The sequence below is a fragment of the Homo sapiens genome, chromosome 12 (genome assembly GCF_000001405.40).
Source record: "Homo sapiens chromosome 12, GRCh38.p14 Primary Assembly".
Classification (NCBI taxonomy): Eukaryota; Metazoa; Chordata; class Mammalia; order Primates; family Hominidae; genus Homo; species Homo sapiens.
In genome coordinates, this window is record NC_000012.12 from 45,807,199 (window position 1) to 45,824,539 (window position 17,341).

The window sequence follows — 17,341 nt, forward strand, 5'->3', positions numbered from 1 at the left end:
TTTCTCTCTAAAGTTTATTGTAATTGGATTTAAAGGGAGAAGTGAATATGAGTCCTTGCCCTATCATCTTTTTTTGTAACATTTCAAAAGGTTTTGTTAATATGGAAGTGTTTCTGTCATACAGAGTTAATTTTTTTTCCTTGATCCAAGAATAGTCAAGAGTTTTCTTGATTGGTAGTGGTGGTGGTTATTGTTTCAGTTTATAAGTATTCTACCAAAATATTTACAGATGAGGTTATATGATATCTGAGAATTGCTTTAAAAAAATCTGAGAGAGATTTGGTTGTCAAGATGGGTAACTGTGGTTGTGATAAAACAAGATTGACCATAAATTGATATCTATTGATAGATACTATTGTGCTAGTCTTTATAGTTTTGCCTATGGGTTTGGAATTTCACATAAGAAAAAATTAGTTCTAATTTTACAAGAATTTGATTTCTTCTAAGAAAAAAATTTCTTGAATTGCATTGTGGTTAGAAAATGTGCCCTATATAACATATAATCTTAAATTTATTGTAGTTTTCTGTGTGAATTGATACATGATCAGTTTTAAAATTTCCATTAAGATTCTAAAAGGAAGTCATTATGTGTCCAATACCATCTTGGTGATGATATTCAAGTCTTCTGTAACCTAATTTATTTCTTTGTCTACTTAATCTGTCAGATATTGTAAGAGATACATTAAATTTCCCCAAAGTCACTGTAATAGTGCTGATATTATTTGATGCTGTTTTGAATGAACTCTTTTTCCCCCATTATATTGGTCACATTTAAGCTTTCTGGATTACAATATTTCACTAGTTTTGAGTTAAATATGTAATGTACTAGGCAGATTACTATAGGAGCTCAGCAAATATTTGTTTGAATAATATGTTAACTGTTCAAAGTTATGTCATCGATTTTTGAGGAGAAAGATGTGCAGTCTAGCATTTGTAGTTTAATGGGTGAACACAGTAGATCTGTTGATATGTAAACTCAAGGTCATGTTAGGGAATTAAATCAGAACACTTGCACTTTGAAATGTAACTTTGTGTTTTAGCTGTGTTCTCTGGTTTGTTAATACTTTTTAGTTTTTAGAAGTATAACTGAAAAACCAAACAAACTGACCTTGTGCTTATTTATTGAGAGGGTGCCAAAATCTTTTTGCATCTCAGTTGGAAATATTTAATAATGGCAGTGAGAACAAGTACTGGTCTTCAAGCCAGGGAAATAAAAATTTCAAAATCATAACAGCCTAAATCATAAATTTCTGGGGATTGGAATTGTGCAAAGAATCTGTTTGGAAGAATACTGTTAGACTATTACAAGGGACCAGAAATGATGTATTTTTAAAACCTAATGAAACTTTGAATTATATGGGGTTTTATATATATAATATATATGGTTTATTATGAGTATATAGTGTTGTCAGTTCACTCCACATCTCTTACGTTCCATTTTGGGTGTTCTGGGAGGGACGAGTTCCTGTTTATAGCCTTTCTTTACTAACAATGTTGCTTTCTCTCCCGGCCGTTATTAAAAATGTGTGTTTGCGTGCGTGTGTGTGTGTGTGTGTGTGTGTATGTGTGTGTGTGTGTGTTGAGACGAAGTTTTGCCCTATCGTCCAGGCAGCTGGAGTGCAGTGGCACAATCTTGGCTCACTGTAACCTCGGCCTCCCAGATTCAAACAATTCTTGTACTTCAGCCACCTGAGTAGCTGGGATTACAGGCGTGCGCCACCACATCCAGCTAATTTTTGTATTTCTTAGTAGAGATGGCGTTTTGCTGTGTTGGCCATGCTGGCCTCGAACTCTTGGCCTCAAGAGATACTCCCACCTCACCTCCCAAAGTGCTGGGATTACAGGCGTGAGCCACTGCACCCACCCTAAAAAACACGTAAATTTTAAATCTACTGTACTAAATGATAACAACTTATGAAGAGCATCCTAAACCTGTTATTTAATGGTCTTCATTGTTATTTTGATTAGATAACAATTATTTTATAAAGATTATTTATCTGTAGTCTGTTTTAACCATTCCACAATGAGTTCAAACAATTCTAAAAGATTGTACTATGTAAAATACCTTTATGAATACTATTATATCCAAGTGATTTTGTGTGACATATATTATCCTTCATTTGCAGTAAAGATGCCACATAAATTTTGAGCACCTGTTTTTCCAGTGTACTTTTTATGTCTACATTTATATATATTTTTCTTTCTGTGATACCTGCTTTAGCAATTTAAAAAGAATGAGCTTGATTCATTTACCTACTTAAGTTTGTTGTGGGTTTATGCTAGAGAATGACTGCCCCTTCTTAATCATCTTTTTGTTCTGTTTTGTGTTCTTAGACTGTAAATTCTGTCTGCAAGGGACATACTCAGAGTCAGGTTGAAATGTGTACACTTGCCTACCATTTTCAATGCTCAAGGATTATATCTGTGTATATGTCTCTGCTTCAGTATGTTTTATCTACAACCATAAAGAAAAATATTGGATTCATTATCTATCAAGCTACCTGCTAGGAAAGAGTTTCTTGCTCAAATTAGGCTTATGTGGGGAACTTGGAAGTAATGGAAAGGGACAGTTTAATTCTTTTCCAGGTTCAAGGATGTGAATTATTGTGTCTTGTAAAGCTGGAAGGGGAAAATGAGGAATGATAATGATTTTTCATGTCATTAGTTTTTATATTTATAAAATTATAGCTTCCATTCATCCCTCTTTGAAATTTAAGGTTTGGTACTAAAAATAATACTTCCAGGATACTCTTACATGTTCATTGATACCCACCTCCCTTACCTCAGCTGTCTTAAAAAAGCAGAGGGTAGGTAGCTGCCAAGCTTTTAAGTAGCTCCAAATGGACTAAGCACCTGCCTAGATCAGGAATGGTAGAAGGATTGATCTGTAAAATAATCACATGTAGAACTTTTCTTTGGTAAATGTAAGTCATTATATATCAATCAGTTTAACTTCTTATCTGTGAAGCATAGTAACAGCTATGTTAGAATAGTGTTGTGTTTGACATGGTTTCGACCAGTTGTTTCCCTGTTTTAAAATCACATCTTACTTGGAAATCTTACTATAAACTGGTAGATGATGAGGTATTATGAATTTGAAAATTCAATCCTAGTTAATATTAAGATTGATTATACTCAGTAATGGTGATACAGTGGGGGGATACACTGTCTTATAAATTGGTCAAAATGTATTAGGCATAGTACTTTTGGATTGCAGTTTGGCTATATTGATGTTTAAAATGATCATACCTTTCTAATATCAAGAGAAAATATTCAAACAAGTGTACAGATTAAGTTTATTACCAAAAAACAAAACTGAAAATACCCTAAATGTATTGCTAGAGAACTATTTAAATTTATAATGTATCAATAGGATCAAATGCTATACAAAAGAATGTTACAAAAGAATGAGGTAGTGCAGTATGTATTGGTATATTTAGACCTCTAAAATATATTATTAAATAAAGATATTCTCAGAAAATATACTCAGGTTTGCACATGAACCTGTTGTTATTGCTGATAAGTGAATTTGTAGAGGTCAAGGGTTACAGAATCTTCTAATTTTCATATTGTTTTTATAATGACCATGTATAATTTTTACAAATAAATAAAGGTACTATTCATCTACATGTAGTTGTCATCTGATATTCCCTATTTTTATATTGTTATTTGAATAGTGGTATGGTCTTTTCTGAAAATATAAAAATACTTTTAGAACCATTGCATTGAGGCCGGGCGCGGTGGCTCATGCCTGTAATCCCAGCACTTTGGGAGGCCGAGGTGGGTGGGTCACGAGGTCAGGAAATTGAGACCATCCTAGCTAACACGGTGAAACCCCGTCTCTACAAAAAATACAAAAAATTAGCCGGGTGTGGTGGCAGTCGCCTGTAGTCCCAGCTACCTGGGAGGCTGAGGCAGGAGAATGGCGTGATCCCTGGAGGCGGAGCTTGCAGTGAGCTGAGATCGCACCACTGCACTCCAGCCTGGGCGACAGAGCGAGACTCTGTCTCAAAAAAAAAAAAAAGAACCATTGCATTGAGTTTATCTGCGGTTTATCTTACTCTAAACTGGAGTTACTGTTCTAATATAAGAGGTTTATGGTATTTTTATTAATTTTTTTAGATTATTGTTTAGAAAAGGAAAACAAATATGTGGTGAGAGTTAAAAATAAGATATAAATCTATTTTTAAATGTTTGCTGTGCTGTTTTTCTGTTTCAGTTACCTAGAAAAGTACGAGAAAGTTCATCATTTTGGGGAGGATGATGATGAGGTACCACCAGGCAATCCAAAGCCACAGCTTCCTATTGGTGCAATTCCATCTTCCTACAATTACCAGCAACACAGTGTGTCGGGTAAATATCACTGCAAATTAACAGGATATATGTCCGCAGTTTTGAATTAGGAAAATAGACATCATCCAATGAGTTAGTCCCTTCCTTTGCACATGAGAACACTTAAGGCCTTAAGGTAATGCAGCTTTCAAAGATTGACATCTAATTGGTATCAGAGCCCTTTCTCTCACAGGTTACTTGAGAATTTTAGTTGCAGGAATTTTTAGTTATAAAACACTTTCACTTCCAAGTAATGATTTTTCCTTATTGCTCTAACTAATGATCAGTTTATCCTAAATAGTCACTAAAATAAGAAGAGGAAGATCCTGTTAGGATTCAGGAGACCAAGAATTTTCTTATAGAGTCTATTAGATTTTCTAACATTAATGGGATTTCCAGCATCAGAATTCTCAGAAATGTTTCTGATTATTCTATTTTCCTGCCATGGTAGCAGGAAGATTTTTTTTTCACTTGTCATGCTTGTAATGGTTATAGAGGAATCCACAGCTTGAAAAAAATCAAGTTGGAAAAAAATCAGCGCGAGTGTTGATACTCTCTTGAGTGGAGTAGACGGGCTCCAGTTTTCAGTGGCTCTGGAGGTCAGGACTGTGATGACTAGGAAGAGAGGTCTAAGGAGATACACATCTTTGTTTTTCCACTCACTAACATTTGGCCTAAAAAAAAAAAGAGATACTTGTTTTTCAAGCTATGTTCTTTATAAAAATTATAATTATTCTAAATATTTATTATCATTATTATTATTTACTGGTACTAGTTCTGTACTCTTACAGGTTATCCTTAGATTTATACTGTCTCATTTGTGGACTATCATCAGTATCATCAACTTTTTTTTCGTATTATCTATTTTCAAAGTTTCTTAAAAGTTGAATTTGACTTCATATTTCTTCCCTAATCAGTAATGACTGAAGAAATAGAATCTTCTTTTAGAATCTGCGATCTCCATTAGAAGAGGCTTCATCTGATGCTTTTGTATAATTGGGGTAGGGGTGAAGCAGGGAGTGCCAACAAAACCTAGCTTTGTTTTTAATGAATAGTTTTTACTGCAAGAACCAAGAGTAAAGGAGAATATTTTAAGTCACCTTTAGAAATGCTTGCTAATAGTTTATGCTGATAAGATAAAATGGGGTGACTTGTTAGGTGATGTGCTCCTTGTTTCTAAAAAGAGCTAATGACCATTATCTAATTCAAGGATGTTAAAAAAGATACTCCTACATCGAATGAGATGTTGTGCTAATGACCTTTAAAGATCATTTTCAACTTACAACTCTGTGTGATCCCTGTATTACAATAATAGCAGAGCTATTAATCCTTGTAACTTAAACAGACTTTGGTGTCCGCTACTACTGTTCCCAAACAAACACTTTTCTATGTTTGGTCTTGTTTAAAATAGATTTTTTTCCTGAATCTGTTTTTTCCCATTTTCTATTGATCTGCTTTGAGAAAGATCATGTGAAATATTTTTGGTATTTCGGAAGCCTATAATGAAAGTTACTGATAGAGCTACACAGGTTAAAGGAGTGATAGAATTGCTTAACCTGTTGTTAAAACAACCCTTTTCTGATATGCTATTATATGTGTGATTTGTTTTAAGAGAATCTGAACAGTTACATTTTATGTGTAACATGTGTAATGAAGTCAGGATTGGAGATTCATGAAGAGGAAGAAACTGGGAACTGATGGGGAACATCAGATTACAGAATATCTAGTTCATACTGAAAAGGGGTAGAATTTCAGGGCAGCATTTATACTTTATGTTTTTCTAGAAAGAGCCATAGCAACATCATGACAGTATTCTAAAAATTGACATGATTATCAATATATAAAGCAAATAAGTCATTAATTTTTCTTTTAATGTGTTATTAAGGAAAATAGAATAAGCTCCGTGTGTGTGTGCGTGCATGTGTTCTAAAAAAAAAAAAAAAACCACCAAAATGAAATTATCTAATATTAGATTGAGAGTATTTAAAGAAATTTACTTAGAACTTTGAGAAGATATGTATTTACATATTTGATCATACAGCCTTATTCCCCTTGTAGCTTTGAATAAATGTATTTATCCAGAGATACTTTTATTGTTGACATTAAGAAAAGCTGTTCTAAAATATTTTGAATGGTAGTATAATAAATTTCAGTGGTCAGTAGTGCTAGAATATAGAACATCGTACACTGATAGAATGTGGGCCTGAATTTGCCTTTGAGGATATTGACTACTTTTGGCCAATAACTTTAAGTGGCAAAAAAAAATATTGTGGGTTTTGTTGCTTTAAGCTTTAAGATTCTTCAACATTGGCATCAAGTACATGGTGGTTTTTATCATTCATTTGCATAGGTTTTCATACTGTTTTTGACATTACATACCTAATACTTCAGTTTCCTTCTTTCTCTGTTTTTTTCCTTGGTATTGATTGGATATAATCATTTCTGCAGAATTATTAGGTGGATTATTATTATTATGATGATTTAATCCAACTCAATCATTTTAATAAAGTGAAGCCAAGTACCCGGTCCATTTGCATTTTTGGTACTTAAATTTTCGGTTTCAAGAAGGAAGATATAAAAATTTTTTATTAGCTATATTTGAGTAAAGATTTTCTTTAAGCATTGCATATTCTAACAAGACATTTGGACTACAACAATCACTGCCAATATAGATGGATAGAATATATTGTAGAATTTCTACAGTGTACATAAACAGCACTCCAGGAACAACTCTCCCTTTCTTCTAAATTGAAAACAAAGAGAAGTGACTGCCTCAGATTAAATTTGTCAGTAGTGACCCACTTGTATAAATTTTGAATCAAGAATGTTGAAAATATGGACGGGCGCGGTGTCTCACACCTGTAATTCCAGCACTTTGAGAGACCAAGGCTGGTGGATCACCTGAGGTCAGGAGTTTGAGACCAGCCTGGCCAACATGGTGAAACCCTGTTTCTACTAAAAATACAAAAATTGGCCAGGTGTGGTGTCGCATGCCTGTAATCCCAGCTACTCAGGAGGCTGAGGCAGGAGAATTGCTTGAACCCAGGAGGCGGAGGTTATAGTGAGCCGAAATCCACAGCACTCCAGTAGCCTAGGCGACAGAGCAAAACTCCATCTCAAAAAAATAATAAACTTCCCTCCTCATTCCAGTTATAAAATTATAGCTACTCAACCATATCTCCTTGAGGGAATGAAAGGAGGATCTTAAAATTTTATAAGCATTTTCTCCTACATAATTATCTTAGGAATCTTTACCAAGGAATTTTTAATTCGCCAAATGATTATAATAAATTGGTGCTTTCACTGTTATCTGAACTCCCAAATGAAGCAGACTTTGCTGTTAATGTATGCAGTCTCCTGTCAAATGAAAGCAAGCACATCATGCAACTTGAAAATGATCCTAAAATCATCACTTTACTACTAAATGTTTAAATATAATTAAAGGATATTTCATAATTGTTATGTTTATCTTACTCTAATTGAAGATGTCTTTGACAGAGTCATTCTGGTAAGGATGTATTGAATGGAATATCTGTCATTTTACAGTAGGAAATAGCACAATTCTAAGATCATATTGAAAACATAAACTTTAGGACTGCGACAGATAAGGAATACGGGTTCCACATTTTTTTCTATTCAGATTTACCTGAAAGCTATGTGGAATATAAAAATGTAAATTAATTATTGCTAAGACTTGGCTTATCATCAGTCCAGTTTACAGTGTAGAATATAAAAATCTGCTCCTATATTCATAGAAGTTTCATTACTTTTTCTCCAGATATTTATTTTATGTTACTTATGAGAAATTTCATTTATAAGGATTATCAAAAATGAACAATATATTCTTATTGTCAAGCTTTAAATATTGTAAACAATCTGTGTCATAGCCATTAAAAACTGTGTTGTGGAATTTCTTCATTATGTTGGAGACACTGCTAGAATAGGTTAGAATTGAAGAGGTGTATCTCTTCAACTGTCTGCATTTGGAAATGAAATTCTTTACTTACATGATATTCTTCTGTGGTATGTTGTGACAGTAGATTTCTACTTGCATCCTACTTAAAGAGATTGTGTGTGTGTGTGTGTGTGTGTTTTTAACTTTTAAAAATATTCAGATATTTCCGAAATATTCTTTTGTTATTGTTGTTAAGAGACAGGTCTCACTTCGTCGCTCAGGCTGGAGTGCAGTGACTTAACCAAAGCTCACTGGAAACTGGACCTCCTGGGCTCAAGCAATCCTCCCAGCTCAGCCTTCCAAACAGCTAGGATTACAGCACACACCACCACAACTAGCTAAATGTTAAATTTTTGGTAGAGACAGCATCTCATTATATTGCACAGGCTGGTCTTGAACTCCTGGCCTCATGTGATCTTCCTTCCTCAGCCTCCCAAAGTGTTGGGATTATAGGCATGAGCCACCATGCCCAGCCTGAAATATTCTTGAATGTTTAAATTTTAGTTTTTTGCCTTTTCCCTTAAACTTGTGACAGCTTTATTTGAAAAAATGTACTTGTGATATTTGTCTCAGGACATAGTTGCCAAGGTCTAAACTGCCCCGTTAGGATTCAGTTATTTCTAAAAATACAACATTTTTTATATATGTGAATTATGATTATATAGTATCTTAGTGTTCTGTAAGCCCGTTTTATCCCATCTTCAAAGTTTTGTAAATGTTTTAAATTAATTCTCCTGTGGAAAATCTTAGTTGCTTTGGTTTAGGCACAAAAGCATGAACCATAAAAGTAAATATTTGTAACTCAGACTTCATCAAAATTAAAATTTCTGTTTAAAGACACTTAAGAAAATGAAAAGATAAGCCACTAACAGGGAGAAAATATGTGCAAAGCAAATATGAAACAAAGGACTCATTTAGAGTATTTAGAACTGACAGTATTAAGTGCTGGCCAGGATGGAGAGCAATAGGAACTCTTTATATTGCTGATGGAAATGCAAGATGTTACAGCCACTTTGGAAAACAGTTTCACAGTTTGTTACAAAGTTAAGGATACACTTATGTGTGACTCAGCAATCCCACTTCTAGGTATTTATGCCAGAGAAATGAAAAAAATATGTCCCGACAAAATCCTGTCTATGTTTCTAGCGAGATTTATTAGTACTCACCAATAATTGGAAACAATCTAAACGTCCCTCAACTAGGGAATGGATAAACAAACTGTGTTTAGAAAGGTATGGACTACTGATGCACTTATCAACATGGATATGAATCTCAAGAGCATTTTGCTAAATAAAAGAAACCAGACAACAAAAGACTATATTGTGTGATTCCACTTATTTGGCATTTTGAAATAAAATGATAGGAAAGTAAATTTGATTTGTAGTACCTAGTGGTAGGGGATGGAATTGAGCATGAGAAACTTTTTGTAGTGATAGAGATACTCTATATCTTGACTGTGATGATTAAAACTATACATCTGTCAAAACTTAGAATTGTAGAACTAAAATTAGCATGGGTTTTACTATGTTAATGATATTGCAGTAATTTGGAAGAAGTCCATTGAAATGCAATAGTAAGAAGTGTAGATTAGTCTGGGCACAGGGCTCATGCATGTAATGCAGCACTTTGGGAGGCCGCAGCCGGAGAATTGCATAAACTCGGTAGATTGAGACACCAGCCCGGGCAACATAGGGAGACCTCTCTCTACTAAAAATAAAATTAGTTGAGCATAGTGGAGCCTTCCTGTAGTCCTAGCTACTCAGGAGGCTGAGGTGGGAGGATCACTTGAGCTTGGGAGATTGAGGCTGCAGTGAGCTATGAAAGCGACATTGCACTCCATCCTGGGCAACAGAGCCAGACATGTCTCAGAAAATAAAAAAAGTGCAGCTAGGTCAATTAAAATACTGATTCAAAAATATTTTGGCAATGATGGCCAAATGGTATGTACATTTTGGTATTTTAATACCTTTTCAAGAATGTAATTTTAATTAGTAAACCTAAGAAGTTTTAAAAGTTGAACGTTTTGAACCTCTAATCAGTTTATATTTTATATATATATATATTTATATTATATTTTATATATATTATATATATATATTTAAAGCTGTGTTCTGTATTCAAGGGATATTCACCATAAAGGTATCTGATCTTTGATATACTTAAGGTATTTTTTTTCTTTGTTAGATTATCTGCGTCAAAGTTATGGGCTGTCCATGGACTTTAATTCGCCAAATGATTATAATAAATTGGTGCTTTCACTGTTATCTGGACTCCCAAATGAAGTGGACTTTGCTATTAACGTATGCACTCTCCTATCAAATGAAAGCAAGCACGTCATGCAACTTGAAAAAGATCCTAAAATCATCACTTTACTACTTGCTAATGCCGGGGTGTTTGACGACAGTAAGTTTTAAGCTGAATGTATTATATAATTCTTCTGTAAAAGTTTTTTTTTTAAGGTTTTTAAGGAGAAAGTACTTTTTGTTTGTCAACATAATAGCATTCTTTATTTTCTGTTTTTATATTATGCATTATTTAAGATAATGAATGTTTGGGGGGTTTTAACCTTAAATATTTGAATAGTAATTTTGTCTCAGTGTTTTTGAAGTAAAAGTCCTGGTTTTTAAGTTGGAGTAATATATAGATTTCCTGAGTTGAGACGATTGCTTGCTACAAGATTTTGACAAAGAAAACTAGGATCTGGAAGAAATTGTTTTCTGAAGTCTATTACTGCTAATGTGTGGCTATAATTTTTAACTAAAACATTTTAGGTCAATGCATTTGAAAATTTGTCTTCTAAATCATCAACGTAAGGCTTATCAAAGGCTTCATATCATTTTTACTTGTAGGGTTTGCTAGTTGTGGGTTTTGATAAATCAAATTCTTCATCTCTTCTGAAATTACCTATTAAGGCTAGATTATCACACAGAGCAAATTACTCAGTTTTCTCTTGCAGTTTAATAAAGATTTAGAAATAATATTTTGAAATCTTTCCCTGCTCAGTTTTTCTTTTGTAAAATATCTGTGTTAGCTGAAGTTATTGGTATAAAGTTATTTCTTGCTTTCCGACTCTCCCCAACTCCAACCCCATTTTTTGCCAGAAGTATATCCTATTCAAGAATAAGGTATTGACATACATCAAAAGTATTTTATCTTTTAGGAAATTATATATATAGCACAGTAGCAGAGTCTTTGAGAGAACTTGTTATAACATTTTATGACTTTTTGTTTTTATCTTTAGTGAGATGTTTGCAAAAGAATTTATTTCTCTGCAATTTGATTTGGGTCAAGTAGTGTTTTATTTGGGATTATTTAGGTAGGATTCTTTGAAATTTGGCACATATTTTATATTGAAAATGATTTTGAAATTAAATAAAAGTAAAAATTAGTTTCTTAACTTGCCCAAAACTATTCTTGATTACATGGATGGGGATGTGGGAAGAAAGATGGTTAGTTCTCAGTTTCTGTCATAACTTTGAAGATATAAATTTGATGGCTTTTCACATCACTTTTATATTCTTTGATTTCCGTTATTCTATTTTGATCTTCCAAATACAACTTTCAGCATTTATTGTAGAATGGAGTTGAAAATTGTTTCACATTTTTTAGAAACCTTAAAATGAAGCCTTTGAAAAGAATGTATATTTTCAAACCAGAATAATTTTAAGTCTTAACATTTAATCTTTGAATAGGATTACATGTAAATAATTTAAGTTGGGTATATGATAGAAGTAATCTTACCAGTTTGGGTGCTCTAAGACAAGACCTTGTTTAGACCTAATTTATCTTCATGCATTCTTCAGGCATTTTGTTTGTTTAAAAGACTAAATTATTGTGTAGTATAATAATGCAAAACCGCATTAATTTAGCAAGTGCCATTTGGGTATAGTTTCTATCATTTGAAGTCACAGAAAGTTTAGTTCCACAGTACATAGGGACTTTATGAAGACCTTATATTTAAAACAATAGTTTTATATGACAAAAATAATTCCTTTGGAGTTTGAAGGTTGTAGACATATTTTATTTGGTTAGACTTTGAGAGGCTTCAATTTGATTTTTAGGGCATGAGATTTTAATTGAGAGAGAAATATAGATGCCACTTCTTTTAGAAAGTAGAATATTTACATATTTTGTGTGTTTGAAGAAGTATAATAAAAATTCTATGTGACAAGAAATTTCATTTTTCAATTTTATATTTCTGCCCTATATTGTTTTCCCAGGGATGTTATTTGCTTGGTGGGTTTTTTGTTTGTTTTTTTGGGTTTTTTTTTTTTAAGAGACAGAACCTTGCTCTGTCCCCTAGGCTGGAATGCAGTGATGCAGTCTTGGCTCACTGCAACCTCCGCCTCCAAGGTTCAAGTGAGTCTCGTGCCTTAGCCTCCCAAGTAGCTAGGACTACGAGTGAGCACCACCACACCTGGCTAATTTTTATATTTTTAGTAGAGACAGGGTTTCCTCATGTTGGCCAGGCCAATCTCAAACTCCTGTCCTCAAGTGATCTGCCCGCCTCGGCCTCCCAGAGTGCTGGGATTACAGGTGTGAGCCACCATGCCCGGCCCCTAGGGAAGTTTTTTATAAGGATTTTTCAGGACAAAGAAAACTTTGTCTGTCTTTAGTGGTGTGTGGGCTTCATTTTGCTGGTTAAGCTGCTACTTATGTATAAATTTGATATTTTATGAAATGCTTTTTGAGGTCACTGTAGTTAATTTGTTTATTCAAAACATTTACATCTGTTCTTTATATTATTTCCTCACGACCCTAAGGTCAGTAGTAAAATCATTAGTAAATATAATTTATGTTTAAAATGTTGCTGTTTCTCACCCTTTTAAATATTTTGTAAGATGAAAATTCTTATTCTAGCCAGAGTACTTTACAAACTTTATTTTACTCAATTTTAACTAAATATTAGGTTCATACTTAAAAGGTAATAAGACTGCCAAGAGTCCATAAATCTCTTATGAGAGAAAACATACCCACTTGTTATGCTTGTCATAACACGTCCAATAAGGAAGCTTAAGATTTTGTTTTTTTAAAGATTAACGTTCATAACAGCTAGTTTTTCTGTTAACAGTTGTCATTATATAATTTTCTTTTGGTTTCTAAAAGCAGTAACTTTCATTACGGAGCTAATGTGATAGTTGATAAAGGATTCACTTAATTTTTAAGGGGAAAAATACATTGTATCACAGCTTAGACATTTGAATCATACTGCTTTATAGTCTGATCCCATATTGACAATTCGAGCTAGCAGCATGAAGGAGAAAAAATAACACAGGATGTACTTATCTATGTGCCTTAAGTTTTTTGGTGGGGAAGTGAGGGCCACATGTGGATGAGAGACAGAGCGTTATTAAGAAGAAGCTTACGAAAACAGATGGTTTGACTTTTCAAAAGTCATAAAGTTGTTGATAAAGCAACTTTATCGAGAAACACAAGCGTGATGTAGGCCTCAGAATTTTCCTTAAAGGAGATTTATGGGAATTGTGGGAATTATTTCCATGGAGTGCCTTGCTCTCTATGTTTTTTGAAGTGTGAATTATGCAAGTATTTCTGAAATTAATATGAAGATTTTAAATGATAACCTGGAAATTTAATAGCAATAACCTCAGTTTGCTTTTTTAAGATTTTTCTTCTGTATAAATGAAAGCCAGTGTGGAGTAACTCTTAAGTACTCTTCACTTCTTTATTATCTGTATAATTATTATGAAAAAGAGTCTATATTATTAATTTGTAGGAACACAAATTTTCTTTAAATCTAAAAACAATGTATTTCAAAAGAAATTATCATGACTATCATTTACTATAAAATAATTTTTAGTACACAAGATATATTAAGATGTAGTTTTGTTGTTTTTCCAAGCCTATTATTAAATAATTAATTGAAAGAATTTATTGCATTTTATTGAATGTACTATTTATTTATTTGTTTTTTAGCTTTAGGATCCTTTTCCACTGTATTTGGAGAAGAATGGAAAGAGAAGACTGATAGAGACTTCGTTAAGGTAAATCATTTTAATTAAAATGTTGATTCATTGAGTTACATGCAGCTAAGCCAACAATAGATCAGTGGTTGCTTATTTAATATACATAATACTACCTATACTTTTATCTTTACCTAATACATATGCCATACACAACGATTTTAAAGTTGTGATTGAGTTGAGTGAAAAATCTTTTAGAATACCCACGAACAGACATAAAATTTTCATTGATTTCTGTGAATAGTAACAACAATAGCAGTAAACAATTGAATGACCCTCTTCTCAACTGGGATTCTGAGAATGGGTTTCAGGAAGTTTTCGTTTTTATGTGTGTTCTGAAACTATGCAATTCAGAAAGGAATGAAGGGCCAGACCTGCCATCAAATCCTCAAAAAGAATAGGTGTAAAAGATTAGTAAGTGTCCATCTAGAGGAAAATTTCTGGGAATATATTTCTGAAACAAAATATAGTTGTGAATTTCAAGTGAGAAACTACAAAAAGACTTGAACAAATTGTTTTCTCACTTAACACTTGTCTAACTTTGCTGGCTTTCAAGGAAATATAGGATGCTTCTTTTATTTACTCTCCAAGGGTACATTTTATAGTATTACTATTAATAGAACATTATTGTTTAAACACCTTTTCTTTAAAACTCATGAGATACATTCAAGTATGATTACTCTTCATTCTTGCTGCAACTTCAGCTAAAATTTCTAAATCTATCCACTTTGTTTCTTAAAAGTAGCTCTCTTGGGCTGGGTGTGGTGTCTCACACCTGTAATCCCAGCACCTTAGGAGGCTGAGGTGGGAAAATCGCTTGAAGCTAGGAGTTCAAGACAAGCCTGAGCAACAAAGCAAGACCCCATCCCTACAAAAAAAAGTATATATTTTTTACTTCATTATACAAAAATATTAAAGAATTAGCTGGGCGTGGTTGTGTGCGCCTGTAGTCCCAGCTACTAGGGAGGTTGAGGTGGGAGGATTGCTTGCTTGAGCCTGGGAATTTGAGGCTGCAGTGAGCTATAATTGTGCCACTGCACTCTAGTCTGGGTGACAGAGCAAGACCTGTCTCTAAAATCAACCGATAAATCAATAAAAATAAATAAAAAATAAAATGATAGCATGGTGTTTTAGGGAACTACTTTATTTTTTATTTTCATTTATTTAATGGTGTTTGATTAATCACTTAAATATTAAAAATCAGTTGTAAAAATTTTGATATTGTCCAGACAAAATAGACTAAGTCACAGAACAAAAAGAGACAAAAAAGGTAATTATATAATGAAACAAGGGATCAATACAGCAAAAGGATGTATGTAACAATCATATATGCACTCAACACTGGAGGCCCCAGATGTATAAAGCAAATATTAGTAGAGCTAAAAAGAGACCCCAATACAATTATAGTTCGGGACTTTACTCACTTTCAGCATTGGACAGATCATCTAGATAGAAAATCAGTAAAGAAACATCAGACTTAATCTGCACTATAGACCAAATGGACCTAATAGACATTTATAGACTATTTTATCCAACAACTGTAGAATATACATTCTTCTCATCAGCACATGGAACAGTCTCTGGGATAGACCATATCGTATGCCACAATACAATCTCAACAAATGTTTAAAAATTGAAATAGTATCAAGTGTCTTCTTATATCGCAATGGAATAAAAGTAGAAATCAATAATAAGAGGAACTTTGGAAACTGTACAGATGTTAATACAAGAAAATTAACGTGCTCCTGAATGACTATTGGGCATCAAGGAAGAAGTTAAGAAGGAAATTTAAAATGGAAACACAATATGCCAAAACCCATTGGATACAGCAGAAGCAGTCCTAAGAGGGAAGCTTATAGCAATATATGCCTACATCAAAAAAGTAGAAAGATTTCAAATAAACAACCTAATGATACACCTTAAGGAACTAGAAAAGCAAACCAAACCAAACCCAAAATTAGTAGAGGAAAGAAATTCTAAAGATCAGACCAGAACTAATTGAAATGGAGACGAAAAAGACAAAGGATCAACAAAACAAAAAGTTGTTTTTTGATAAGATAAACAAAATTGAGAAACCACTAGCTAGAATAGCTAAGAAAAAAGAGAGAAGACTCAAATAAAGTCAGAAACATAAAAGGAGACATTACAGCTGATACTACAGAAATATAAAGGATCATTAGAGACTATGCTGAAATATTATGCTAATGAATTGGAAAACCTAGAAAAAATGGATAAATACTTGGACACATACAACCCATCAAGATTGAACCAGGAAGTAATGGCCTCACCAGACCAATAAAGAGTAACAAGATTGAATCAGTAATAAAAAGTTTCTCAATGAAGAAAAGCCCAGGACCGGATGGCTTATGGCTGAATTCTTCCAAACTTATAAAGAAGAACCAACACCAGTTCTTCTCTAACTATTCCAAAAATCTGAAGGGGAGAGAACTCTCCTTAACTCATTCTTTGAGGCCAATACTACTCTGATACCAAAACCAGGCAAGTACACAACAGAAAAAGAAAACTGGAGGTCAGTATCTGTGACGAACATAGATGCAAAAGTCCTCAACAAAATGCTAGCAAACCAAATCCAACAACATATCAAAAAGACAGTGCACCATCATTAAGCTGGATTTATCCCAGGGATGTAAGGATGCAAATCAATAAATGTGATACATCACATCAACAGAATGAAGGACAAAAATATGATCATCTCAGTTGTAGATTTGTCATACGTGGCTTTTATTGTTTTGAGGTATGTTTCTTCTATGCCTAATTTCTTGAAAATTTTTATCAAGAAGAAATGTTAAATTTTATCAAATGCTTTTTTTGCATCTTTTGAGATAATCATCATACCAAATAGGGGAAAAACTGAAAGCTTTTCCTTGAAAAACTGAAATAAGATGAGGACACTCACTTGCACCACTCTCATTCAACATTGTATTGGAAGTCCTAGCCAAAGGAATCAAGCAAGAGAAAGGAATAAAACTTCAGTAAAGTTGCAGGATACATTTCTTAAAAAAAAGACTTACAAATGGCCAAAATATATATGAAAAATTGCTCAACATCACTA

The 17,341-nt window shown here is 33.3% G+C and overlaps 1 protein-coding gene across 3 annotated transcripts in view; it reads left to right on the forward strand.

Annotated features, from left to right (window-relative positions):
• The window catches only part of ARID2 (AT-rich interaction domain 2), a 178,332-nt gene that overhangs the window by 77,493 nt on the left and 83,498 nt on the right, over positions 1–17,341 (forward strand). For all 3 annotated transcript variants that reach the window (NM_152641.4, NM_001347839.2, XM_047428489.1), the window contains exons 4-6: positions 4,220–4,353; positions 10,472–10,690; positions 14,222–14,289. In NM_152641.4, coding sequence (NP_689854.2) covers positions 4,220–4,353; positions 10,472–10,690; positions 14,222–14,289 — 421 coding nt within the window. The remainder of the gene's footprint in view (positions 1–4,219; positions 4,354–10,471; positions 10,691–14,221; positions 14,290–17,341) is intronic.